At 33.8% G+C, this 26,173-nt stretch overlaps 1 long non-coding RNA gene and 1 pseudogene across 2 annotated transcripts; one reads left to right on the top strand and one right to left on the bottom strand.

Annotated features, from left to right (window-relative positions):
• LOC100420743 (chromosome 6 open reading frame 58 pseudogene) lies at positions 233-10,131 on the top strand (annotated as a pseudogene).
• On the bottom strand, positions 2,112-26,100 carry LOC105377996 (uncharacterized). 2 transcript variants are annotated; one of them, XR_942978.2, is made up of 4 exons: positions 25,939-26,100; positions 24,005-24,168; positions 11,038-11,135; positions 2,112-2,237 (listed from the first exon to the last, which is right to left on the bottom strand). It is a non-coding gene; the product is annotated as an uncharacterized LOC105377996 (long non-coding RNA). The 2 variants fall into 2 exon arrangements; XR_942979.2 differs by lacking the exon at positions 24,005-24,168.
• Between the last annotated feature and the right edge of the window lie 73 nt (positions 26,101-26,173).

Genomic DNA, 26,173 nt, shown 5'->3' with positions numbered 1-26,173 from the left:
TGTTCCTCTCTCTGTGTCCACATGTTCTCATCATTTAGGTTCCACTTATAAGTGAGGACATGTGGTATTTGGTTTTCTCTTCCTGTGTTAATTTGTTAAGGATAAGTGCCCAGAGCTATTGCTTAAGTTTTACTACATGTTTCTAAATCTGTGGAGTTTACTTTTGTGATAGATTTCTTTACTTCAAAAACAACCTCTTTTCTATAGTAATAATATGAAGAATAACTTTGTTTATACAGACTTTAATTATTATCTTTCTGCTGTATCTTGCTGTGATCGACTCTGGCATAATGGGGATATCATCAGACAATGTCGTCCTTCTACCACCATCTAAGGATCAGATGAATTTTTGTTATAATGTTTCTAGCTGTAATTCATCCTTTCCAGAAACAATACAAATGTGGCATGAATTTTACCAAGTTTTTCTCTAATATTTTTATTAATAACCTTTGAAGGTAGCCAGATAATTTTGTATAATACTTTATGTATAATTTTAAAGCATTGAACAATATGTTCCCAAAAAATAATTCCTAATATGAAAATGTGTATTATGATGCTAGCAGTATTAATATGAGTAGATTGCCACATGACATCGTATCTTATTAGCACCTTTGTTTCCAATATGTATTGAGGCAGTCCTATGCACTCTTCTCACATCAAATAAATTATACACAGACATGTGAACACAGAGAAATTATGGCTTAATGTTGTAGAAAATGTTCTGGTTAATCCTAACTTTGGGTCAATGGATTAATAACTTATATAGAAATATAATTATGGAATAGATTGTGATGAATTTGATCAACTTATTTCAACTGTCTTCATAGGCAATTACATATGAGTTGCTTGAAATGATCATTTGACAATCAGAATCAAATATTGATGTTCAAAGTCAAATGTCATGGGTGGAAGAGTAAATGACCAAAGATAAAGTTTCCCTTTAGAGAACTTACTCATTATATTGTATGTGGTTAGATCAAATTTTGTTACTTTTCCCACTCCTGTCCCCATTTCTGACTCTTACTGCTTTATAGAAAGCTCATTGCATGATAGGAGAAAAACAAATAAACAAATGGAATACTAAAGCTCTAGTTCTGAACAATATAAAATTATGAGTATTTCAAAAACCAACCCTTACTTGGTTTATTCCTTTCAAATGCATTCAGTGTTGCTTGTAATTAGTATAACTAATATTAAGCTCTCCACGAAGCATTAGGCATTATATTCTTCATATCCTAACTCTTACAAACAATTTTCTCCTCTCATTTAGAATGTTGAAAAATTTATATTTATAAACAATTGATTTTCAGGAAGAGAGATGGTAATAATTGTTTAATATTAATAACATTTTCCTTCTTGGATAGCATGTAAAGTCACCATCTAGTAGCTCTGATGACCTGTTGAAGTACTTAGGGACTGCACATGTCTCAACCCTGAAGGCTGCTCATAAAATTTTTCACAATAGGTAAGAATAAGCCCAAAGTGATTTTGTTTCAATGTGGTAACAATCTTTCCATCATATGCTATGTTTTCTATTGAAATCTTTTTCAATTTACTTATTTACCAAGATGTCAACCGTGGGCAGTACTATGATAAAAGGAAAACTGACAAGAAAACGTTTTACTGGATAAAGTTCAAAACATATTTTTTAAGTAGGCAGGTAAAAATGTGAAAAATAGGTTTGTACCATGAAGCGTAGAAAAATTAAAAACAATCAAACAAAATTTAACCAGAAGAAGAAGGAGAGGGTTTTTTTTTTAAAGATATGTCTTAACATGAACTGGCATGTCCGTAAACCAAAAGGATGTAGTGACAAGTAATACAGGATCTCTACATCATTTTTATCAAAGAATACGGTTTGTTTACCACATATTTGGAAGAAAATATTTAGGACACATCTTTTTTATTACACCAGATAGATAAAAACAATGTCAAAATACTCTGTGTTTTATAATGAATGTAGTAAATACAACTCTGCCATCCAGAGTGAGACATGGGGTAGAAAGAAAGAAAGAATGGGTGACTCGTTTAAAAACATATATAAACAGAGGCATATATTTTTGAAGAGTTCTTGTTAAATATCTACTGTTATATTTCCCACTGACCTCATATCCAATTGAGATGAATAAATCAGAGACGGGAGACACATTGCCTTGCATGTTTTCTCTCTTTATGTTGCTTCACGGCCTGATATTTTTATGAGATGATGGAAGAGTTCATCCCCTTGGTATATCTGTCTGATAAATTAGGATCATAACCATCATAACAACTTATTGGTAGAGTGAGAATTGTCAACATCAAGATGGCAACTGAGAGCAAGTCATTAGAATCATAGAAAATAGTTTCAAAAATACTGTTTTTTCATTTGTGGATTTTCCCAGTCACATACAAAACTAAACTTCTTTAGAAAATAGCAACTTTTCCATAATAAAACTGTTTTAGTTTTATAAAATAAAAAGTCAACACTGAATTTATTGCTTCCTACCAAAAGGGTCAGAGACAGTCTCTTTGAGCTCCAAAGTCTGAATTATTCTGTATGTTGATCATAATGTTTGGGTATAATTTTTATCTTTCTGAAATATTGTAAGGTGCTTTTTTCCACAAAGTTTCTTAAATTTCAAGCAGTTGTGACTTGCTATGTTATTTTTCATTCATTTTGTGGAGCACATAGTCTATCTAAAACTCCATTATCTCTGTTTCATTATTGGAATTCCTATTATTTCTATGTTGAATCTCCTGCACAATAGATCTAATTTTTATAGTTTTTATTTATCTTATTTTCCACATTTTTGCTTTTTGCACTTCCTATCTAATTTCCTCCACTTTGTCTTCTAATCTCTTTGCTGAGGGTTACTTACTATACTATTTCTATGATTTCATTGAGTTAAGATAAACGAAGTTGATCTTCAATGAATCCTCTTATTGTATCTTCTCACTGCTTTTTCTTTGCAATAAATTTTCTCACCTCTCTGCGAATATTAGAATTTTTTTTTTTTTTTTGAGACGGAGTCTCGCTCTGTCACCCAGGCTGGAGTGCAGTGTAATTTTTGTATTTTTAGTAGAGACGGGGTTTCACCATCTTGGCCAGGCTTGTCTTGAACTCCTGACCTCGTGATCCACCCACCTCGGCCTCCCAAAGTGCTGGGATTACAGGCATGAGCCACTGCACACGGCCAATATTATAATATTAAACACGGTTGCTTATCCTACAGTATATTCTAAGTGGCTTTTTCATTTGCTTTGTGTAATTTGTCTTATTCATGGTATCTCTTATTCAAGATACCATTCTTAACTACCTTGTAATCTTTGTCATATATAGGTATTTAAAATTGGGGCAGTAAGGAGCTAATTTGAAACTCTGTGGATATGACTAATGCTTGCTTACTGCTGTACAGCAGAGCACATGACTGGGCAATTTAATTGGTTAATTCCTGTTTTATTAAGTGTATGCCTATCTTCTCAAGCTGGTTGAATTTACCAGAAATTTTCCATGTTATGCTTCAAGAGAGAAGGCGTGGCTTGCAGCATTTTAAGAGTCTAGTGAGAGAAGAATATTGGAGGTCTGAGTATCCAGTATGCAGGTCTTCACTTAAGATCTCTGTTTTCAGCATGGTGTACTGTTGCCTTCATTTGCGCTCAGTTTACTAGAGTTCAGAAACTCTCTCCTTTGTCTTGTCGATAATTAACTCATCACTGTGTGAAGGATCAGAGGTAATCTTTGAATCTGCCTATTTCTTTATCAGCCTTTCAAGCAACAGTTCCCGTTTTCAGGAATAAACCTTTCACTCCAATTTCCAGAAGTGCTTGTAATCAAACACACAATTGTTGGGAGAATTCTACACAGTATACAGTGTTAGCTTTCCCCATTGCTAGTTTAGGATTCAGACTTCTTGGATCTGCTAAATCCTTTGCTACTCATCCGTTTGATTTCCAAAATGTTATAGCTGCCTCTCCAAATGTACTCACAGTATTATTGCTTCTGATATGGTAAGGGGGAAAAAAGAAATGCGTGTATTCAAATGCCCAACTTTACATGAAAGATCCTCTGTCATTTTCATACTTAAGAATATATACTAAAATTTATGTAATAGTAATATTTTTGAAATATGAATAAGTGTATGAAGTTATTTAGTATTAGTTTTGCTTAAAATATCACCAGAATTTTACTTCACTGAAAAACAGTTGTCCTGACAAGGAGAATCCTTCCAAAGGTATCCCTTAATGGAAGGAAGGTATTTTGCATGTTAATACTATAAAAATATCAAAATCCTGATAATGAGTATTGTGGTTTATAATCTTAGAAGGCCTTATATGGATATTTATTAAAATATTAATCATTCTTTGATATAAAATAATTTTATAGAATTTAAGATTATTTCCATTAAGGGTCAGGCAAATCTGCATAATGAATCTTGAATTATCGGACATGTGAAATCTCTTATTAGTTTTCCAGTTGTAAAATGGGAATACTAGCAGCACCTAACTTGTGAGGTTGTTTTGAGCAATATATATAGCATTTATAACATAACACCTACAGTATAATAAGAAATCAATACAAAATAGCTTCTATTATTTTAAGAGGAAATAAGGTAGCAGTTAAGTATAAGACTCTGGAACCAGAACATCTAGTCTTAGATCCTGGATTGGCATATTATAGAAAATTGGATAATTGTTTCTTGTGATTCCATTTCTTCATCTATTAATATATTTTTTTAATCTGGTTGGTGCTTCCATAATAGCAGAGTGGGGATATCCCTAAATTCACTCTTCCATAAAAGCAACAAAGCACTAACAAAAATTATCAAAATAAACATTTTAATAATTATTGGAATTAGCCAATGGTTTATATCAATCAAAAACTGTCAAAAACGTTTATTCAAAGAAATGATGAATGTAGGTAAGAACATGGTCTGTGGTATTTTAAGTTGGCTTATCTCACTCCACTTTACCCAGCTCTGCAATAGCCTTGAAAACCAGCTCCTTGCAACTCCTGTAGCTTTGCAGCCATCAAAAGGGCATATTTGTGTTTGGAGCTTCTTTAAAAGCCCTATCTGTAAGCAATTTAGAGTCACTTTTTAACCTGTCTTACAGCTACCCAGAAGAATTCCCTTCTCAGGATGTGGTAGTTATTTGAACTACTCATTCTGTGGGAAAACCCTTATACCCAAGGTATTTGTAAAAAGATACAATTAGCATCAATTTTTTTTAAACCTCAGCTACCTGAGACTGCCATAGCGGCTGGGGGAAACAAGAGATGAGCTAAAAGCTTAAAAGGGCAATCTGTGATATAATATGTCCATAGAGAACTTGGAAAGCTCTGAAATATTCCTGGGGATCTATTAGGCCACTCACATGAGCAGGACTGTGGACAAAGCTAGGCAAGAACTGAGAAAGCTCAAATCTCCCACCTCTGGCTGACCTTGAGGCCCTGAACAAGTGAAAAGTAAAGGCTAAGGCAAGGATGCAAAAGGCCTTGAAGGCCATATACAGTGCATATGTAGAAGTAGTCCAGGCAAGTTACTAAGTTACTAAGCAAACAATGACAAATGAACCAAGCAACAAATCCTGGTGAGAGGGAGTATCTGATTTTCAGAGTTGCTACTTTATATTTTCTGAAATGAAATGAAATGGGAAGTGTTAGGAAAAAGATAAAAGAAACGTGAAGAACTGGAAAACTATTTTGCACACGTGTATGTGTGTGTGTGCGCGCGCGCGAGCGCGCGCACACACACACACACACACACACACTAGTCAATTGAAAGTTTTCCTGAGTGGGACCAGATGATGGACTTACTAGATAAAATTTTTAAATTTGCTAATATGAACATACATATAGAAATAGCTTGGGTGTAATAGTTCATGCCTGTAATCCCTGCCTCAGGAACCTGAGGCAGGAGAATCACATGAGCCTAGGAGTTTGAGGCCAACCTGGGCAATATAACAAGATACCATGACTAAAAATGCTTTTAAAAAAAAGAAAGAAAGAAAAGAAACCATGTCTAAGGAATTAGAAAAAAAGCATGAAAACTTACAACATCTTACCAGATAGAGAATATCATTAAACAGATATAATCTATAGAAAAAAATAGAAATTCAGAAATTGAAAAGTGTAATAGCTAAATGAATAATCCAAGGGGGTGATACGCAAAAGCAGATTTAAGCTAGCAGGAGAAAAGAATCACTGAACTTGAATAAAGGTAAATTGAGATTATACAGTTAGAGACACAGAAAGAAAAAAAGAATGACGAAAAATAAACAGAGTTTCACAGATCCATAAGAAATCATCAAGCACATGAGATATACATAATGAGATTCCCAGAAGTAAGGGTAGAGAAAAAAGGGAAGAAATAATATTTGAAAAAAAATAGCAAGAAACTTTTCAAACTTAATTTAGAAACATTAATCTATATATCCAAGAAGCTCAGTGAACTCTAAATAAGATAAACTCAACAAGAGCCACACTTAGACAAATTGTAGTCAAAGTGTCCAAAGACAAAGAGAGAATCTGATAAGCAGAAAGAGAAAAATGACCCTCATGTACAAGGAATCCTCAGTAAGTTTAGGAGTTGATTTCTCATCAGAAACCATGGAAGCCAGGAGACCTACTGGAAGTGCTGTAAGGAAAAGACTGTCAATGAAGAATTATATATCCTGTAAAACTATTCTTTAAAAATGGAGAAATTAAGATATTTGCAGATGAACAAATACTGAAAGAATTTATTAGCAGACATACTTTCAAGAAATAATAAAAGATGTTTTTCAGGCTGAAATGAAAGAACGCTAAATGGTAACTCAAATTCACATGATGAAATAAACAGTACTAACAAAGGAGTTACATAGGTAAATATAAAATAGATTGTAAATATATAGTATCATGTCACTTTTCTTCTCTATTTTATTTGAAATACAACTGCATAAAGCAATAATTATAAAATTGTTCTGATGGGTTTATAATGTAGAACGATGTAATTAGCATGACTATAATAGCACGAGAGAGAAACAGGAGTGGTACTATATTGTAGCAAGGTTTATGTAAACTATTGAAAGAAGTTGGTATTAATCTGAAATACGTTGTTTCAAGTTGAGGTGGTAGTTGTAATCCCATCAGCTAAGAGCAATAGCAAAGCAGACTAAAATGTATATAGTAAAATAAACCACAAGGTAATTAAAAAGTTACACTAGAAAGTATTTGTTTACCACAAAAGAAGGCAGTAACAAAGGAAAATAGAAGCAAAGACATAAGACAAAAGAACAAATAGCAAAATGGTAACATTATACCAAATATCATATCAAAATAAGACAAAGGCATCACAAGAAAAAAATTCTACAGACCTACATTTCTTGTGAATATAGATGTAAAAACTCTCAACACAATATTGGTAAACAGAATCAAACTATATATAAAAATGATTATAAACCATCACCAATAGGATTCATTCCAAGAATGCATGTTGGTTTAGCATCTGATAATCAATATGTATAGTATACATATTAAAAGAATAAAGCACGAAAACCACATGATCATCACGTAGACACGGCAAAAGCCTTTGACAAAACCCAACACATTTTTATGATTAAAAAACAAAAACACTCAAAAACGTAGGAATAGAGCAGTGTCTCACCTTGATAAAGGGCATGTAGAAAGCCCCAGCTAACAATGATAAGGGTGCAACACTGAATTTTTCCCCTGTAAGATGAGAAACAAGACAAGATTCTCCACTGTTGCCACTCAGCATTGTATGGAAGGGTCTACTGAGGGAGATTAGGTAAGAAAAGATAAAAAAGCATCCAAGTTGGAAAAGATAAAATAATACTTTCTCTGTTTCTCAAAGAAATCCACTAAAAAACTATTGGAGTTAATAAATGAGTTCATTGACCCAGCAGAATGAAAGATCAACATACAGAAATCAATTGTATTTCTATACACTACAATGAAAAAAAAATTCTAAAATAAAACTAAGAAAACGGATACATTTTTAACAGTATCAAGAGGAAAAAAATCACAGGAATAAATTTAACAGAAAGAAATTCAAAACTTAGATACCCTGAAAAAATATGAGATATTGTTGAAAGAAATTACAGATCCATTTAAAGTGGAAGACTTTCTGTGTTCATGGATTGGAAGACTTAATATTGTTAAGTTGGAAATTCTCCCTAAATTGATCCACAGATTCTATGCAATCCCTATTAATCTCTTAGTACAAAACTACAGTAATCAAGACATACAAGTAATCAACTGTGGTAAGGGCATAATAATAGAGACATAGATTAATGGAATAAAATTGAGAGACCAGATATAAACGCTTAGATTTGTGGTCACTTGATTTTTAACAAGGGGGCAAGACAATTCAGTGGGTAAGATTAGTCTTTAATGGAAATGGATTAGTCTTCTAAAAATCCATATGCTAATGAATGAAGTTTGTCTTCTACGACACAACAAAATTAACTTAAAATGCATTATAAACCTAAATGTTAGAGCTAGAACTATAAAACTTTTAGAAAAAATTTTTTGACTTAGGGTTAGACATGTTTTTTCTAAGATGTGACACTAAAAGCACAAAGGACAAAAAAATAGAATGAACTTCATGAAGTGTTTAAAAATTTGGTGCTGCAAAAGTTACTATTGAAAAAGTTAAGGATAGTACACAGGATGGGAGAAAATATTTACAAATCATATATCTGATAAGGGACTTGTATTTAAAATATATTTTAAAACTCTTACAACTCAGTGATATAAAAAAATTTAAATAGAAAAAGGAGATTTGAACAAGTATTTCTCCAAAGAAGATATGCAAATGGCCAGTAAGTACATAGATATTCAAAATCATTGGTCGAAATCATTAGTCATTAAGGACATATAAATCAAAACCACAATGAGCTACTACTTTACAACCACTAGAATGGCTAAAGTTTAAAAGACAGTAACAACTGTTTTTATTTTTTATATTTTGTTCCTCAAATCTTCTCTTTCTTAAACCTAAGAATTGGTTATGATGCTTTGATAAGAGTGTGAAGTTCTAACCAATTTTTCTGTAATCCAGGACAGGCTTCATAATTTCATACTCTGTACTCCCATAACTCCATGGGAACCACATATATACAAGTGTGTTTCTTTCACAGTGTTGACCAGAGGATATGTTCTAATTGCTTTTTGAATCAATAACAACTAGCCCCCTATGTCTGTAATACGTAGAGTAACACCAAGGGAAGTCTAACAAACCATATAATTTCCATAATAGGCCTTGAAGGACATAGGACATAATGAGCAAAATGAGAGATGGAAATCATTTTGGAGGGAACAAGCATGCTGCAAAACAGCAAGCTGTTTACATGCTCAGAAGATTGATTGGAACAGGTGGTGCAGATTGTATAGATGTAAAACTGTTCACTACAAACATAAAATTAAAATTTATTCCTCAATAAGATGAGAGGAGCTGGCTTTCTAGCATAATTCATGAGGAAAAAAATACCAAACCACCTAAAAATCAAGAAAAGCTATTCTAATTTATTTCATTTTCAGTGGTCACCTGACATAAAAATCATCTCTTCTTCAAGAGATGTCCAAATCCAGCAGAAGTTTTGCCTCATCACCTTTGATCTTCATCTTCACATTTTAAAATAGTATTTGGTCACATTTCAGAGTACATGCAAGGATAACATGCTTGAAAAGGGAAAAACATTTGGCTAAAAATTACAAAATTTCTGGGATGGTAATTTCCAAGTTTAAAATTCTAGTAATGTCTCTTCACATTTTCAAACCTAGGGGCTAAAATCAACAGCAAGTTTATACAATTTGTATTCTAAAAAGTAGAATAAGGTAGCTTTTGGACAGATTATCCGTTTTGAAAATTGAATTGGCAAAACTCTGAGTAGACTAATTTTAAATGCATACTTTTACCCTACATTTCTATTAGGTTAAAATATTATTTTAAGCAAGAAGCAGATCGTAAAAGAAACTGGGTTTTATCTGTGGATTATTTAGCTCCAACACGCTTTCCTACAACTTTGATTAGAATGAATGAATTCCAGAAGGACCTGGCACCACGAATACTTGTTAGTGGAGATAAAGCCCACTTCATCGGTGACTTTTCCAACTTTCAGAACATAGTCTTGCTTGCTGTAAATTTCCTGCACAAAGTGCATAAGCATACAGGTAAGAGACACAGATAATTTATTTTCTGTAAATTCTATATGTTGTGTTGATATCTTAGCTGACGGGATAGCCTTGGAATCAGAATTATAAATTATTATGATAGGCTGTTTAAAGAAGGAAATGTTAAGTTCCTATAGTTATCTGTTTCAAGGTTTTAACAATAATTCTTGCGGGTTTATGATAGGTTTCATATAATGGGCTTATAGTATAGACCCTTCCTGACTTGGCATGTACTTTTCTACAGGGTTCTTGTGCAAATACAGCTGATCAATATCACAGCATGTTAATCTGGCAAAGAGATAATGGGAATTTTTACTTCTTTCCTGGACAAGTTTTATTTTATTTTATTCTACTTCATTCCTTATTTTTAAATGAAAAATATAATAAGCAAAACAATGACACTCCCCATGACTAACAGAACCACACAATAAATTCTGTTTTGTGACTTTCCTCATCCAGTTCTCCTGATTGCACGCATAAAAACAAAAATAAAAAACCCTCAAAATTCTGGTCTTAGAAAAGGTTACATTTCTCCAAAATTTACAAATTATTTATAGAAAACACAAAAGAAAGAACATAATAATAAACTTGAAAGTTACTTTCATTAGATTCTCCAGATATCATTCACTCCTTTCTCTATTGAGGGAATAAAATATGTGTGTGTATGTGGTATGTGTGCATGTGTATAATTTCTATTCCCTAAAGCAAAATTTAGAAATAAGGTATGAGTCAAAATTAAAATGAATATATTGTACATTAAATTTAACAGTTGTGTGTATTACTTAGCGCAAAATTTGCTGTTTTAATAAATAAACCTTCAAATGTTAATGGCATAACTCATTAGGATTCTTTTCCTGGCTCACATAATTATGCATGATGTTTACCCAATTTGCAGGAGACTTTCTTCCATGGTAATTCTGGGACTTAGGACCCTTCTATTTGTGGTTCCACCAGTCTTCACAGCTTCACTATTGCATGCCACCTGCAAAACATAAATGGAGTTAGAGCGGTTGAAGGAGGGAGCCCATCTTTTAAAGGCCCCAGGACCAGAAGTGCTCGAGAATTCTGTATCTTTCCTTCTTACAGATTGACGGATCAATCCACCCTCACTTCTTCTACTCAAAATTCATACCATTACTAAATACTTTTTCCCCGTATTTTAATAACATTTCATTTTATGACTATAAGTTTACTTATTTCAAAAATATATTCTATATATGATACCACAAATTTAATTGCTACAGAAAGTTATTAAATGCAAATAAAACTTACCATCTCCGTCATCACCTCCTAACCTTCATACGTTGATTCTTGACTAATAAATATTTTTTATGTTTTGGGCTCACTCTTACAAAAAATCTTATATGCATTAATGAACGTAAATAAGAGGATAAATAATTTGATAAAAACTTTTGTGTTTGCATAAAATAAATTATATATATGGCACTGCTCTGTGCTATAATTTTTTCATTAACCATGTATCTTTGAGATATTAGTAAGTTGGCAAATATTTACACATATCATTCTCATAAATGATACATAACTTTCTATTGAATGGACTTATATTTTTCCACTTTGAGGCAATGGAAATTGTCATTTAATGTGTACTTTTGTTAGCTTAACTTGTTGGAATAATGACACAGTAAAATACTAAAAATGAGTTCATGGATCAGGTATTGCCAAGTGGCAATTAAAGACTATGCTATAGTTTATGTGCTTGACAAAACAAAAACAAATGACAAAACAATGCAAACTGTATATTAAGATTTATACATCTACATAGATATCAAAAAATAGTATTAGCAAACTAACTTGCACACAGTTATCTTAATTTGCAACAATCTAAAATGTGAAAAAAGGGCACTTCATTGTTTACAGGTTTTCTTTTATTTAATCATCACTGTATTTATCATCTTTTGTTCCTTTTAGTTACGTATGAATCTCATCAATTTGAATTTTAAGGCATAATATATAATTTAAAAGAGCAAAACACTTTATGTTTTATTACAGAATGTATATGAATATATATTAATTTGATACTAATTACGTTGAATTTTGTTGTAAACAATTTCAACATTTGGGATCAAAATAGAAATTTTTCCTACAACATTTAAATAAATTTACCATTTTTCTAGAAACATTGTTCTCACCATATGGAAAACTTTAATGAAGTTAACAGTTGCAAGAAAACTTTTTCTAGCAATTTTGGAATTTATCCTTCACTTTTCAAATTAAACACTTCTAGAAATCTATAATGAAATAAAACTCCACAAAGGTAATTTATTGAGGAACAATACTCACAAAAATTTGTCCTTGGCTTTTCATGTCTAGGTAATTTTGTCATTATTTATGCCTGTATTTTAAAATTAAAACTGATGTTGCTGTTAATTTGCACAATTAATAATTATTGAGTTAACATCAATAATAAGTAAAATGCTTACTATCCAATGTTGATTCAATTGGATAACTCACAAGTGCTGATAAATTAATAAAGTCGTAAAACCTAATTGGGCCTTGGGGTGTTATTCTGCCTAAATTAATTTCATGAAATTTGGAGGAATAGATTTTATGGTCATGAGTCAAAAGGCACATTTTAAATAAAAATTTGTATGATGAACTTGGCTTCTAAAACTTAAAAATGAACTGTTAGTTTAGAACATACTACTGATTTATCAATATTTTGAGAGATGGTCAGTGATGCAGGATTTTTTGCACCTTAGTTCAGCTAAAATCTGGGTTCTTGTCTCACGACCAGGAAGAGTTAGGCATGCAGACACATTGAAGGGTTAGGAGAGTGGATTTATTAGGTGAAAAGAAAACTCTCAAAAAAGAGAGGGGTCCTGCCCGCAGGTTTTCCACCTCACAAAACTGAATACCGGAACACCACACACAAGCTGAAAAGGCCCAGCTCCTCCCCAACATAAAGCAAGAATTCCTGGTGGCTCCACTTATTCTCCCAGTGCATATGCGGGCCCTTAGTCTAAGCCACTCCACATTGATTTATTTCCCTTACTGAGCATAAGTTAAGGGATGGAATTTTTCACCATGGGTATGTTAGGCGAGTCCCTTGTGCACAATGACCTGGGCGGCATTTGGCTGCCTTCTGCCTGTATCATCAGTTATCTCAAAGTTCTAAAAATTATGTTATGAATATCTGCTTTTTTAACACATATTTTTTTGGAGTACTTCAGAGTCACAGAGGGCAAAATTTCTCTCCATTAGGAAGAGACAGTGTCCACTGACAAAAAGGTAGCTCTTCCTCTTGCTTGTCTTCTTGGTAACTTTCTTTCAATAGCTATTACAAAGCTTGTTTACACAGGTTTACAGAGAGCCCTAAGCACAGGCAAAATATGCTAACAAACTATTTGGAAAAAATAAAAGGGTAAATTGAGCCTGACAGTAAATAGTGTGGTAAAATAATACAAGTGTTGATGTCAGAAAGACGAGTTTGCATTAATGTTCTGCCATTTTCCACGTGGTGTCAGCTGGTTAAACCTAAGCAACTTAGAAAATTTGCCTGTAGTTCAACATACTTATTGAAAAAACATTATTGAAGAGTCCACAAGATTTTGATTATAAAAAATTACTAGTTCAATAATCAGAAGGTAGTGAGCATCCAATGTAACACATACCATATAGTAATTGTTACACAGAGTACACGTTTGATGAACAAAATACCAATAAGATAACTGTGTTGAATCAAAAATCAGTTATTACTATAGCGTTCAACTCTAGGAATCAAAGAACATGAAACACTCATATCAAATTATAGCAACTTCACTGTTAATAGAAACCTAATGACTTTTAAACATTTGTATTAGTTTCCTTTCGCTGCTATAACAACTTAACACTCACTTGGAAGCTTAAAACAACACACATTCAATATATTACAGTTCTGGAGATCCTAAGTCTAAAATGGGTTCAGTGGATGAAAATCAAAAAGTTGATGAGGTTAAGATACTGCTGGAGGCTTGAGAGAAGAATCAATTCTCTTGCTTTCTGTGGCCTCTAGAGGCCATGATCATTCTTTGGCTTATGATTTCTTTCCTCAAAGCCAGTAGAAAACATCTTCAGATTTTTCTCTAATTCTGACTTTATTGCCTCTCATTTTTCACTTATAAGGACTACCATGATTATAATTGGCCAACCCAAATTATCCAGGATAATCTCCCCCTACAATATTTAACTTAATCACATCTGCAAAGTTTTTTTCGCTATGTAAGTTAACATACCATGTGTTCTGGGTATTTAGGCATAGATATCTTTTGGGGACCATTATTGCTGCTGCCAAACTATTCGTAAGATTATCTCTGCTTGGTGTATATTCAAGGATAGATATAAGAAAATAAATGGTACTTTAGTACTTGCACTGTAATAAACATATGATAAATTTCAGTGTGTCTCATTACAAAGTAATATTCAGTTGAGTCTTAAACAACACAGGTTTGAACTGCATGGGTTCACTTGTATGCAGATTTTCTTCCACCTTAGTCATCTCTGAGACAGAAAGACTAATACCTCTTCTTCCTCTTTCTCCTCAACCTACTCAACATGAAGACGATGAGGAAGAAGACCTTAAGATGATCCGCTTCCACTTAACGAATAGCAAATATATTTTCTCTTCTTTGTGATTTTCTTAATAACATTTTTTTCTTCAGCTTACTTTATTATAAAAATACACCATATAAAACATACACATATAAGATACAAAATATGTGTTAATCAACCGTTCATGTTATTGATAAGGCTTCTGGTCAACAATAGGCTATAGTATTAAGCTTGGGGGAGTCAAAAGTTACACATAGGTTTTGACTGCAGGGGGTCTAGCAACCCTGACCCCATGTTGTTCAAGGTCAACAGTATGTGTTTTCTACTTATGGCTTTAAGACAATAGGAATTGTTCTTTTTGTATTGGAAATGGTAGTTGGCAGTATCTAAATTAGTAATTAAATTAAATTAAAGATTACAGTAATTTAGTTTCATGAAGTGAATAAGTAAAGCAAATTAGGAAACAAAAGGAGAGAATTTATGCGAAGATTACAATAATATTGCATGGAAACAACAGGATGAAAGAGCAAATAGTTTTCACTGGATATTATAACCAAAAGCTGAAAAATCATCAGGAACCAAAATAAAATACTCTTTATATTTCTCGAGCTTCATGAAAATTCATTTTCACTTCTCTCTGTGCATTGTGTTTATTCTTCCCCTGATATATATATGTGCATGTGGTTCATCATTTCTGCCCAAAGTTCTAGAGTCCACATCAGTTTATGAGTTATGGGCTCACAGCCCAAAAATGACGCATCATTTTCAAAACACAAATGCCCTGGAGATACGTTTGTTCTGGTAGAATGTAGCCTCTGAATTAGTTTCCCTATGTTTGGTGTGCACACCACACTGGCTCCAATGAGCTGTGGAGAAGAACTAACACTCATATAGTCACAGACTAGAAAAATCGACCGTAATGCCCCACTTTATTCAGAGAATCTATGGACTGTTTTCAGGAGGAATATGCAAACTGAATAATTATGTCCAAACTGTTCACAGATGCCCATCCACACCTGAGGTTCAAATCAAATAATGAAAAATTATGAAGTGAATTATTTGTTTGGACAAATTATTTTTTAAACTTTATAATGAGAGTTACATTTATAGGACATATAGCCTAAAAATCCATGAAAGATGAGTTTTTTATTTTTATTTTTTTTATTTTTTTTTAATTTTTTTTTTATTATACTTTAAGTTTTAGGGTACATGTGCACATTGTGCAGGTTAGTTACATATGTATACATGTGCCATGCTGGTGCGCTGCACCCACTAACGTGTCATCTAGCATTAGGTATATCTCCCAATGCTATCCCTCCCCCCTCCCCCGACCCCACCACAGTCCCCAGAGTGTGATATTCCCCTTCCTGTGTCCTTGTGATCTCATTGTTCAATTCCCACCTATGCGTGAGAATATGCGGTGTTTGGTTTTTTGTTCTTGCCATAGTTTACTGAGAATGATGGTTTCCAATTTCATCCATGTCCCTACAAAGGACATGAACTCATCATTTTTTATGGCTGCATAGTATTCCATGGTGTATATGTGCCACATTTTCTTAATCCAGTCTATCATTGTTGGACATTTGGGTTGGTTCCAAGTCTTTGCTATTGTGAATAATGCCGCAATAAACATATGTGTGCATGTGTCTTTATAGCAGCATGATTTATAATCCTTTGGGTATATACCCAGTAATGGGATGGCTGGGTCAAATGGTATTTCTAGTTCTAGATCCCTGAGGAATCGCCACACTGACTTCCACAATGGTTGAACTAGTTGACAGTCCCACCAACAGTGTAAAAGTGTTCCTATTTCTCCACATCCTCTCCAGCACCTGTTGTTTCCTGACTTTTTAATGATTGCCATTCTAACTGGTGTGAGATGATATCTCATAGTGGTTTTGATTTGCATTTCTCTGATGGCCAGTGATGATGAGCATTTTTTCATGTGTTTTTTGGCTGCATAAATGTCTTCTTTTGAGAAGTGTCTGTTCATGTCCTTCGCCCACTTTTTGATGGGGTTGTTTGTTTTTTTCTTGTAAATTTGTTTGAGTTCATTGTAGATTCTGGATATTAGCCCTTTGTCAGATGAGTAGGTTGCGAAAATTTGGCCATACTGCCCAAGGTAATTTACAGATTCAATGCCATCCCCATCAAGCTACCAATGACTTTCTTCACAGAATTGGAAAAAACTACTTTAAAGTTCATATGGAACCAAAAAAGAGCCCGCATCGCCAAGTCAATCCTAAGCCAAAAGAACAAAGCTGGAGGCATCACACTACCTGACTTCAAACTATACTACAAGGCTACAGTAACCAAAACAGCATGGTACTGGTACCAAAACAGAGATATAGATCAATGGAACAGAACAGAGCCCTCAGAAATAATGCCGCATATCTACAACTATCTGATCTTTGACAAACCTGAGAAAAACAAGCAATGGGGAAAGGATTCCCTATTTAATAAATGGTGCTGGGAAAACTGGCTAGCCATATGTAGAAAGATGAAACTGGATCCCTTCCTTACACCTTATACAAAAATCAATTCAAGATGGATTAAAGATTTAAACATTAGACCTAAAACCATAAAAACCCTAGAAGAAAACCTAGGCATTACCATTCAGGACATAGGCGTGGGCAAGGACTTCATGTCCAAAACACCAAAAGCAATGGCAACAAAAGCCAAAATTGACAAATGGGATCTAATTAAACTAAAGAGCTTCTGCACAGCAAAAGAAACTACCATCAGAGTGAACAGGCAACCTACAACATGGGAGAAAATTTTCGAAAGATGAGTTTTTTAAAAATGCTTTTTATGTGTCTTGTATTCTGATATTTGAACTATTATTTTCAGAAAATTAAATTTCTAAGTAGAAAATTTTAGAGACTGGAATTCTCACAAAATTAATCTCCTAATTATCCTGTCTTTATGTTTACAGCTATCTTATGCTTACAGTATATAATTGAGTCTTAATTTTTTTATCCAAACAATCACAGACTTTAACTTGTATGTTTAACTCATTTATGTTTAATCTAATTTTATATGTTTAGATTGAATCTAACAACAACAAAGAGGTATGTCCCTTTATTATCGCCTTCTCTCTTTTTGCCTTGTTTTGCAATGAGTACTTTTTATTATTTCCTTTTATCTAAATAGCTTGCTGTCATTCCGGTCACTTTAAAAACACATATTGGTTGTCTATGGATTGCAGCATTTTACTTTTATATATGGAACATTTTACTTTTACTTTTGCATAGGAAATAAACATATTGCTATCATATTTGCTTTACATAGTCAATGGCCTTTAAAATTATAAGTATGTGAGCTTTATATTTACTTTGCTTTTTATTATATCTAGCATTCTTCAGTTTTTTCAGTTTTTGTCTGGTACTAAATTTCTTTTTCCTGAAGAAATTCTAACATTTTCTTGTAACATGTTTATGCAAGAAGCAAATTATTCGTTTTGTTTTTGATATTGATGATGTTCATGGTAGCAGTTGTGGTGGTGTTTGCATTGTTTTTTTACTGAAAAAGTATTTCTCATTAAATTTTTCTTCTTTTTTTAGTACACAGGTTTTACTCTATAGTCTAGTGCTGTCTATAGTTTCTGATGAGATATCTGTTGAAACACTATCACTTATTTTGTGTAATTTGTCTTTTGTTAACCTTTAATGCTTTCTTTTTATCTTTAGATGATGTCAGTTTGAGTATGATATACCTAGTTATGTTGGGAGAAGATATTTATCCTGATGGGTGTTCTCCAAGGTTCCTAGCTCTGGGGGATTAGAATCTTTCCTTATTTTTAGAAAAGTATCTTTATCAATTTTTCTTAATATTTCTGCCCTATTTTATCTCCTTTCTTCTTCTGAGATTTAAATTATACAAATGTTAAATTGTTTGATATTATCTTACAGATCCTTTGTTCTCTGTTCTGGTTTTGTACTATTTTTTTCTCTTTGGTTTTATTTTGAATAATTTCTATTGACCTGTCTTTGAGTTCAATGATCTTTCCTCAGCTATGTAAAGTCTGCTGATGAGCTCATTAAAGACATTTTTCACCTCTATTACTGTTTGAGGGTCTTACTATTAACTTCTGACATTTCTTTGTGATTCTCTCTGATAGTTTTTATATCTCTGTTGAAATTTTCCATTTATTCATCCTGCTATCTACCTTTTCCACTAAAACCTTTAATATTTTAATCATAGCTAATTTCAATTCTCTGCCAGACAGTTTCAACATCTGGGTCATATATGACTTTGATTCTGCTGATTTTTTTTGTCTCTTGACAGTAGGTTATTAATTTTTTTAACGTTTTTATGTGACACATAATTTTTGGTTGAAAGCCAGTCAACACATGTAGAACAGTAAAAACCATGGTAAAGAATATTTATGCTTGTAAGGGGCAGGTGTCTTATTCTGATGGGCTTTTAGTTTGGAAGGGGTGAGAAAATCTTGTGGAGATTCGAGCTGGCTTTGTGTTTTGCTGCTATTATTACTCTCAGTGCCTCACTAGCTTAATCTGTCTCTCATGTTATTTGATGCTTAGGGTGAAATCTAGCTTGCTGGAAGATTGTTCTAACACTCATTTTCCACCCTCAGCTTCAGATTTTTTCTGCATCAGCCTGTGCCTCAGTGAGGGTCTCTCTCCATGGTGTTTCCTCTTCTCCCAATGTTAGAAGGTTGTTACTTGTTATTTGATGCTTGCTGGCCTGGAGTAGGTAGTCAGGGTCATCCTCTGTTTTCTTGTTCATCTTCAGTTCTATTACTTCATCCTCAGTCATAGTCAGGCTCTATATATCACTAGTTCTCCAACCCAGGACTTTATCAGTGACTGTGTTTCCTTCTGGAGGTGCAGGATTTCCAATTATCTGAATTCTGTTTGGCTTCCTGCCCCTCCACCAGGGTTAGGATTTTTCTTTTCCTGTACCCTTTTCCCAGATGAAGTAGGGCAATTGGACTTGCTACCTTATTATGAGCAGCTTAAATACTTTGTACCATCGAGGAGATGTGGGGAGAATTATCTAGGTGGGGTGCACCATTTCAGCTTTTTTCTCTTCCTCCATGTCTACACCAAGAAGGAAGCTTTTTTAGTTCCCCACATGTCTCTGAACTTTCCAGCAAATATCTAGTAAGGTCCACAGAGAGGAACATTCTACTATTATTTTAAGAAGTGATTTTATGTGTGTGGCTCTGTCATGCTGTTTCCTCATGCTAGCTCACACTCAGCAGTATTCCCTCCAGAGCTCCCTGCTAAGTTGGCTGAGGTCTTGTAGGGCTGCACCACAGTTCAACTTGTGCCTTTGTCCAATTCTACTTCTTTCCCCCTCTTCCTTCCAGGGTGTCAATCTCTATAAATATATCGTGCACCGAACTCCATCTCAGTATATAAATCCAAAATACCCAACTCAAAATGTTTTCAGAATTTAAATTTTAAATTTTTAACTTATTTTCCATTTTTAATACGGCTGAATAAAAACATATTTGCCTATTCTATTTCATAAACAAAATGAACCGGACTAAAAAAATTAATAAAATTTATAAATCAAATCACTTAGCACAGATGCTTCTTGAGGGGTTATGTCCCAAGAAATCCATTATAAGTTGAAAATACTGTAAGTCAAAAATGCATTTAACCGAACTTACCTAACAACATAGCTTAGCCTAGCCTACCTTAAACATGCTCAGAACACTTACATTAGCATACAGCTGGGCAAAATCATCTAACACAAAGTTTATTTGATAATAAAGTATTGAATACTATACACAGATGGGCATTTTCTAGACATTATGGGATGCAAAAACAGAATACAATATTTAATAAACTGAATACTGGTAACATAGTACACGGTAGAATGTCAGCTGTTTACCCTTGTGATTGTGTGACTGACTGGGAACTGAGGCTCGCTGCCACTGACCCCCATCAGGCAAGACTATAGCACCATATATCACTAGCCCAAGAAAATATCAAAATTCAAAGTATGGTTTCTATTGAACATGTATCTCTTTTGCACCATCGTAAAGTTGAAAAATCTTAAATCAAGCCATCATAAGTTGAAGACGATCTGTCTAAGAAAGGGATCTAAGGGACTGAAAATTAAATAAGGCAGAGAGAAAGTAACTAAAAAAGAAGCAAGGAAGAAAGAAGTAAGGAAGGAAGCAAAAAGAATGATTTATTTTTTGTATCAATGAAATTATTATTAACTGTCAATTGCAGGAAAAATCTCTGGACACTCACTGATACCATATGTATCAGGGAGATAAGAACTAAATAAGAAAACACAGCTAGGCAAACTTATTAAATGTTACAGAATTCAGACTTGTCTTTCATCAAGTCATTAATTTAGGAATTTATTGATTGATTGATCAATCAATTAAAATACACATTCATTGAATGCTACAATGTGACTCTAATGACAATGGTTTTGTGGGGAAAACAAATGAATAATACATGATCCCTTGGTTTATAGTTTAATAAAGAAGGGAGATTAGACAGAAAGCTGTTTTTAATATTTTGAATATATTTTACACATAAGAAACTTTATCCCATTTAATCTGGAAAATATTCTTTATTCAATAAATACTAGTTTGTACTTCCTTTGTGAGACACACTGTCTTAGGCCCTAGTTATATTGTACCAGGAAAAAAAAAAAGTTAGAAATCTGTGACCTCATTGAGGTTATACTCCCATGAAAGACTTAGTAAATATGCGATGCTAAGGGAAAAACAATTTAAAGAAAAGCAACAAGAAATACTAGAAGATATTGAACACCTTCAATTTTAAAAGGTTTGTTAGTGAGGTCTTGCTGGGGATAGTTATTTCAGCAGAGATGTGAAGGAAGAGAGGGAAGGAGCCAGGAAGATAACTGGAGTAAGATTATTTGAGGCAAAGAGGAAGAGGAAGCACAGCAGTTGGAAATTAGGAGTTGATCTGGCTTCTTCAGCAAGATGATTGAACAAGGCAAAAATAAATAGGAGATGTAATGAGAGCAATAGGTTTGGGTAGGCCCTTGTAATCCATTGTAAGAACATTTTTTTCAACCTTGGAATAGAATGGAGAACATAGAGAAGGCTTTTGAGCAGAGGAGTGACCAAATCCAGCTTCTCTGTTGAGACTGAACTATAGAGGTAATAGCAGAACAATATTTTAACTACAGTTATACTGTATGTTTTATTTATATCTGTATTAATATTGTATATTATTATTTGTTATCGCTTATGTCCCATATTTGTTACTTATATTTGTTATATTTCTTTATATTTAATATGTTTATATGTTATACATGTATTGTTATATTCTATATATTATGTATATGTATTATAGATGTATTTGCATGTGTATTTATATATTATATAGCATAAATATGTATTGTAGATGTATATGTGGAAGATACTTTGAATCTATCCTGTTTCTCATCAAAATTTAAAACATTCATTTATTTATTTATATCTCTCTATTCATGTTTTTCATTTTATTCAGTGGATTTCCATGCTTTATTATTTATTTTGATACTCCATTGTTTCAGTCTTGGCCAGTGGAAGCTCCCTTTGACAATATATCCATCTATTTTTGAACACTTCATTGCTTTCAGGCACAAGAATGTATCTTAAGCTTATTTTATCCTTTACCTCTCTTATCCCTAGAATTATCCATTTCTCTAAGGCACTTTTGTTTCATTTATTGAAAAATAATATTTTGAAGAAGTCAAGGCCTGAGTGGTAGATTTGTTTATGACTTTTGGGATATTCCTGCTCATATTCATGCATCCCTCTCAGTAGATGCATCTACTCACCTCTATATCCATCTATCTATGTGTCTACCATTATCTATTTAGAACACATCATCTATCTAATTTATGTATATTGCAAATTATGAGTTCACACCAATATTGCTAATTCCAATCCAATAGCACAGCAATTACTTTAGTTATCACACTTTTCAATGTTTGAATCTTCCTTCTCTAACAGTGAAAGAATGTGGCTTCCATTTGCTTTGAATATGTACTTGTTTAATTTTTCTGTATATAATTCCATCCATCATCTGTGCCATAACCTCCTCATCTGTATGGATGCCTTCTCACCCATCTTTTTGGGCTCCAATATCTTGTAGTACATGGCCTCTATCGCTGAATTTCCTCTTCACTCTGCTTGCCCTCTGACTCCCCATGCTGGGCCTCCCCTCTCTGGCAATGCCTTCCGGTCCAGGTTTATACTCTGTTTTCCTACATGGCCTCCCCTTTTGTGAGCACAACTTCTTCACCCTGCTTAGGCTCTGGATCTCCATGTTTTGTCACCATGACTCCCTTCCCACAATTTTTTACTTTTGTCTACCAAATAAATTTTTCACTGAATTGTTCAGAAAAAGTAGTGAAGAAGTGGGAAGTGGGAAGTGAAGAAAAAGAATTATCATGGAATCACTTATAACATCCTTCTTCCTGTTATACCCTATACCTGATCCATAAAGAAACTATGTTGGTACTACATTCAAATATCCAGAATACAACCACTCATCACCATTTCTTCTATGGTCAAAGGTAACACTATGTTTGTCCTGGATTCCATAGATATTCCTTTAGAAAACTTGGAAATGCTGGACCACTCTCAGAAAGGGAGAAGTTGACAGGTTAAAGCTCATTTAGGAGAGATAACATTGTTGTGTATGAGGATTTAAGTGTGCACCTGTGATTTATTGATAGGTTTTTATTTGTGCTTTTTAATTATTTTGGAACCACAATACTCTATTACAATGATTTAGAGAAGGGTGAATGAACTCAAACTTTGTACTTTCATAAAAGATTTATAACCTCCTGGCAGCTGTGATTGTATCCCTTGAAACACTGAAAAGGAAACAAAGTCCCATATATTGCCCAATTGACCATACAGTTTGGACAATCTGTCTGCTATCTATTCCCATCAGCCCTCTGTCCTCTTACAGAATTTCTTCATAATGTACAAAAATTATTTCATACTTATGTATGTATATATATATGTAATTTCAAGTATCATTATTTCATATATATGTAATTTCTAGCAGGAAAGAAGATGCCTCTGGATCAGAGAACAGACCATTTATTACTGACAGATTGCCTTAGCATCCGTTTCCCATGCTTCAGTTTTCATGGGTTAATGCAATAAATGATGTTCACTCTCGCATGCAGTAGCATTGCCTCACAGCAGATGAACCCTAAAGTAAGACTTGGAACATATATGGAGCAGCTGGTGTATCATTCTATTCTGCATGGGTGCATGCGAGAGACAAAGGTGGGAGAGAGAGAGAAACAAAATGAGAGACATCTCATCCTTCTTACCTTTACTCTAGAGGGTGGGGTGAGTGATCGCTACTCTGTACTGTAAACAAGTGATTCCAGTAGGGATAAGAGTTGAACTACTCTCTGGAGCAGTGTGCTACCTAACATCCAAGTCATGTTTGTCTTTAAGTCATCCTTTAATAGATACACCAACTGCCTCTGGACTGTGAAGAAACAAAAATATTCATGGAGAATTATTTTCTAAGCACTTCTTCACTCAATAAAAATACCACACAAATTAACTTTTATTTTAGGTATGTAAAACTCAGAAATGTGAAACTTAAATAGGAAAAATAAAATTAATGAGCTCAAAGGACAATAAGAAGAGCTGGAAGTAGTTGTTTTCTGTGGAACAATTACTTTAGAGCCTCTAACTGTGTCTATTGCTTCAGTTGTCTTCCTTCAATACATTTCCAAGTGCCTCTTGCATACCAGTATTTGGGATAGAACAAGTTATATGGAAGGACCAGCTGTATGTATAAATAAAAAATGTGCTCCAACCTTTATGCCACATCCTTCATAAAATCTTCCCTTAATTCTGCTGCTATGCCAAACCTAGAGATATCACTGTCTTATCCAAACTTTGATAATTTGTAACCTATACTTTTCTTAAGGAAATATCCCTAAGAATATTAAGATATTTTCTAAAAATATCTGCCTAAAAATGAAAATTTTTATTTATTCATGATAATTACATAAGTTTTATGCTTAACAGATATTCAGTAAACAGTTTTTTTAAAAAATGAAAAGTTATACAATGTATCATTTCCAAGAGCAGTGAACAATAAAATGAAGCTTTCTGTTGAATTCAGAATGATAGGATAACGTGTTCTTAGATAGGCCAAGCTGAGTTCTAAATATCAGTGTTGTCACTATTGTCTAAAAGACTTCAAAGGCACAGGTCAGCAAGCTATGGGCCTAATCTTGTCCACTTGTAAATAAAGTTTTATTGGAACTTGGCCACATCCATAAGTTTACATCTTGTCTATTTCTGGTTTTGGGATACAATAATAGAGTTGCCCACCAAAAAGCAGAATATTTACTATCTGGCCCTTTACAAAAAAGGTTTGCCACTTCTGCTGTAAGTCAGTGTTAGTAAAAACGTGATAATTGATGATAAAAACAACAAATTTTTCACTGCCCTGCTAATATAACATAACCCTTCTTATGCCAATGACGGGGTTTACTGACATTAAAATAGTGTATTCTTCTTTAGTGGTTTCTAGCATTGCTTATGTGTTTGGTTCTTCTCTATGTAATTATTTTTAAAATTACAATAAGAAGTCAACTTGAGGACAAAATTCTTCTATTACATATTCAAATTACTTGCTTTCATTAGAGATTAAATTTTTATAGTCATCCTTTGTTAAACATCTCAAAGACAGAGCTCTTTTCCACCTTGTTCATTATCGTAGGACAGTACTGATACAGCACCAGGAATGAGGTCACTGCTCAAAAAATATCTGTTGAATTAGGTGTGAGGCTTGGACAGAGTTTTCTGAAAACTCATTGTGACTAGAACAAAAACAAAGCACAGGCATCCAGGGAAGGGCTGGGCCCACAAATCAGGTTGTAGTGCAGAGGTTCTGAATTAACCATCTCCTCTGCATCAAGCCTAAATCCTCTGGGCCTCACTGTGCTATGACTAATTTAAACAGGCTTTTGGCCTGCTTCCTGCAGGTGCAACTTGACAGTTTAATTTCAGTCACTCGTTATACCTCTTACCTACTTCCCTGGGTATGTATGCCTCTGTTGCTCTGTCAGGCATCTGCTAGAATCTGTTTGGTATTCAGGCTTGTCCAACCAGAATGGCTGGATAGGTTCTACACAGACACCTCTGATCTGAAATTACACCTAGTATTTAATTTAGAGAGGTATATCTGTGTGATGATACAGAAAGTCCAGTTGCACTAGAAGAATAATTTATTACTTACATTTCCTGAGAGAAGGGATCATGCCACACCTGAGAGAAGGGAACAGGGCCACAAAGGAAATGTGAGGATGGTCAAGAGGCAGATGACAGGAGCAAGGAGAAGGCAAAGGCCAGAGCCTTTATGTGAGATTTCCACAAAGAAGGCAGAGCGAACAGTGTAGGATTGGCCAGTTTGAACAATTCTGGCAAGCTCAGAACTATAAGGATGTTCTCTTGTTGCCTGGTACCTGGCCTTA

This window comes from Homo sapiens, chromosome 6 (assembly GCF_000001405.40).
Source record: "Homo sapiens chromosome 6, GRCh38.p14 Primary Assembly".
Classification (NCBI taxonomy): domain Eukaryota; kingdom Metazoa; phylum Chordata; class Mammalia; order Primates; family Hominidae; genus Homo; species Homo sapiens.
The sequence above is the reverse complement of the archived record's forward strand: the minus strand, read 5'-3'. Positions and strand labels throughout refer to the sequence as shown.